We start from the raw sequence: 3,106 nt of genomic DNA on the forward strand, positions 1-3,106 counted from the left end.
GTGAATTACTTGACACCACTAGTATTATTTTTCTCTGTAAACTTTCCCAATATTTATTTGATACTACACATTTTGCAGAACAAAGCCTCGATTATTTTTATTCTTTATTTTTTAATTTTGACTTTTAAAGTTCCTTATTTTCTATTTATTATTCTATTGTTCTATACAACAAAGTTAATTATTACTGTTAACTTTTTTAAAAAAAAACTTTTAAGTTCAAGGGTACAAGTGCAGGTTTGTTACACAGGTCAACTTGTGTCATAGGGGTTTGTTGTACAGATTATCTTATCACCCAGGTATTAAGCCTACTACCCAACAGTTATTTTTCCTGATTGTCTCCCTCCTCCTACCTTCCAAACTCCAAAAGGCCCCATTGTGTGTTGTTTCTTTCTGTGTGTCCATGTGTCCTCATCACTTAACTCCCACTTATAAGTGAGAACTTGTGGTATTTGGTTTTCCATTCCTGTGTTAGTTTGCTAAGGATAATGGCCTCCAGCTCTATCCATGTCCCTGCAAAGGACATGATCTTGTTCTCTTTTATGGCTGCGTAGTATTCCATCATGTATATGTACCATATTTTCTTTATCCAGACTATTATTTATGGACATTTAGGTTGATTCCATGTCTTTGCTATTGTGAATAGTGTTGAATAACTTAGTTCAGCCATTGTGGAAGACAGTGTGACATTTCCTCAAAGACTTAAAAACGGAAATACCATTCAACCCAGCAATCCCATTACTGGGTAAATACCTAAAGGGAGAACATTATTTTTTATTACTATTATTATTTGACCATTTTGGGAGGTTATCTTCACGATTTATACATGATTTTCAGGAACCCCTATTTCAGTACAATAATTTATGATGCAGAAAATTAAATCCCGTCCTGAGGATAATAGTAATAGTAGTATTAGTGGCAACAGCACTAGCAATAGTAGTAGTTATTCTATTAAATATCCAATACATATTTATTAAGCACCTATTATGGGCCAAGCACCCTGTTATATGTAGGGGAGAAAACAGTGGAATACATTCAAACTGTCCCTGACCCAGTGGAGTCTGCTGTCTCCTGAGGGGCTCACATATTCACATGAATAAAAATAAAAGTTAGACCTATGGTACAGGCATGGCAGAGGCTACTGGTCACCCCCCACTAACCCAATCCATCTGTAGATTTTTAGGGGTAGAACCTCTGAGGTAGCTGGACTCATGGCTGCTCAGCCAGAGACAGAGGCCATATCTCCCTCTTAACTGAGAGGGAGCATTCTATTTAATAAGCACTTCTACTGCACTCCCTGACCGCTAGCCACTGTCCTAAGTCCTTTAAGCATACTAGCTCGTCTTATCTTCTTGAGAACACTTTGAGGTAGACAGATGAGGAAACAAAGGAACAGAGAGGTTGAATATTTTAAGTCACACATCTCTTTTTCTTAGAGATGAAGTCTCACTCTGTTGCCCAGGCTGGAGTGCACTGGCATAATCTTGGCTCACCGTCACCTCCATCTCCTGGGTTCAAGAAATTCTCCAGCATCAGCCTCCCGAGTAGCTGGGACTACAGGTGCGCCCCACCATGCCTGGCTAATTTTTGTATTTTTAGTAGAGAAGAGGTTTCACCATGATGACCAGGCTGGTCTCGAACTCCTGACCTCAAGTGATCTGCCTGTCTCAGCCTCCCAAAGTGCTGGGATTATAGGCGTGAGCCACTGCGCCTGGCCTAAAGTCACACACCTCTTAAGGGAAGTAGCTAGAGTACAAATCCAGCCAGTCTAGCTTCAGAGTCAATGCTCCCTGTGTCTATGTATAGGCATAGATTTTTCAATATCATATGTGTGTGTGTACATACAACCTATATGTGTAAACACAAACCTGCAGACTGTGTGTATGTGTACAGAGGTCACACCAGTCCTTCAATTAATTAATTTATTTATTTATTTTTGGAGACAGGGTCTTGCTCTGTCTCCCAGGCTGGAGTGCAGTGGTGCTATCTCGACTCACTGCAACCTCTGCCTCCAGGGTTCAAGCAAATTCTTGTGCTTCAGTGTCCTGAGTATCTGGGACTACAACCAGGCACCACCACGCCTGGCCATTTTTTTTTTTTTTTTTTTTTGTATTTTAATAGAGATGGGTCTTCACCATGTTGCTCAGCCTAGTCTCAAACTCCTGAGCTCAGGCAAGCCACCCGCCTCAGCCTCCCAAAGTGCTAGGATTACAGGCGTGAGCCACCGTGCCTGGTAGTCCTTCAATTTAATACTGCAAATTTAACCTTGCTTCACTGTACGGCATCAGCTCCTTGGACATCTACACGGACTGTGGACACCATTTGATCCAATGTATAGCTAGTTCTCCCCATGGCTATTCAACTATACGTGCCCCCAGTATTCAAAGGACATTTGGAAACTCATCTGATATCTCCAAGTGCTGCTGCAAATAAGATCCTGATGCTGTTTTAGGCACCTGAGTAAAGTCAAAATCTAAGTACAACTATAACTATGACAGTTTTAGAGAGATTCTTGGCTTACTGCTGTTGAGCCACTTACACAATTCTGCAGAGAATAAATGTAGGAGAGAGCAACCTCTTTCCTGCCACCTGACCTTCACTTGGTGGTCAGTCGTGTGGAGCTGGACGTCACTGTCAGCTTCAGTGGAGTCCAACTGCTGACAGATAAGTGGGAGCACATGGCACGTGCGAGATAAGAGCCTATAAGAGCCTGGCGGCCTGAAATAAATGGCAACAACAATGCTCTTCTAAGTGGTCTTCCGAGAAAGCCCTGTTATCATCAGCATTGTTCACACTTAGTAACAACTTTCCTTGAATGGGGTTTTCAACATGTTTGTTCCTTTCAGTCTGAATTATCTGCCAGGGAAGAAACTCTTTCTAAAGTCCGTCAACAGTTGTGAGATTGGGTTGAGGCTCTCAAAGGAGTTTCCGGCTGTTGTCAACACAGCAGGAAGGGGCAAGGATAAAGGGTGATTTAGGAGCCTGTGCCTGGGTAGGTCCTGCCAGAGCCAGCCCAGCCCAGCCCAGCCCAGCCCAGCACAGCACAGCACAGCCCTGCCCAGTAGGTCACGCGAGCGCCATCAGCCAAGGCTTTTGGAAAAACCTATGA

The 3,106-nt window shown here is 42.8% G+C and overlaps 1 annotated feature.

The window, feature by feature from the left end:
* Positions 1,482 to 1,660: a silencer, noted in NCBI's record as "fragment chr21:36477528-36477706 (GRCh37/hg19 assembly coordinates)". NCBI's record gives its function as "represses an EF-1alpha promoter that drives an FKBP-Casp9 reporter gene in an ReSE screen in HepG2 liver carcinoma cells {active_cell/tissue: HepG2}" and the evidence as "EXISTENCE:reporter gene assay evidence [ECO:0000049][PMID:32094911]".

Source organism: Homo sapiens, chromosome 21 (assembly GCF_000001405.40).
Source record: "Homo sapiens chromosome 21, GRCh38.p14 Primary Assembly".
NCBI lineage: Eukaryota > Metazoa > Chordata > Mammalia > Primates > Hominidae > Homo > Homo sapiens.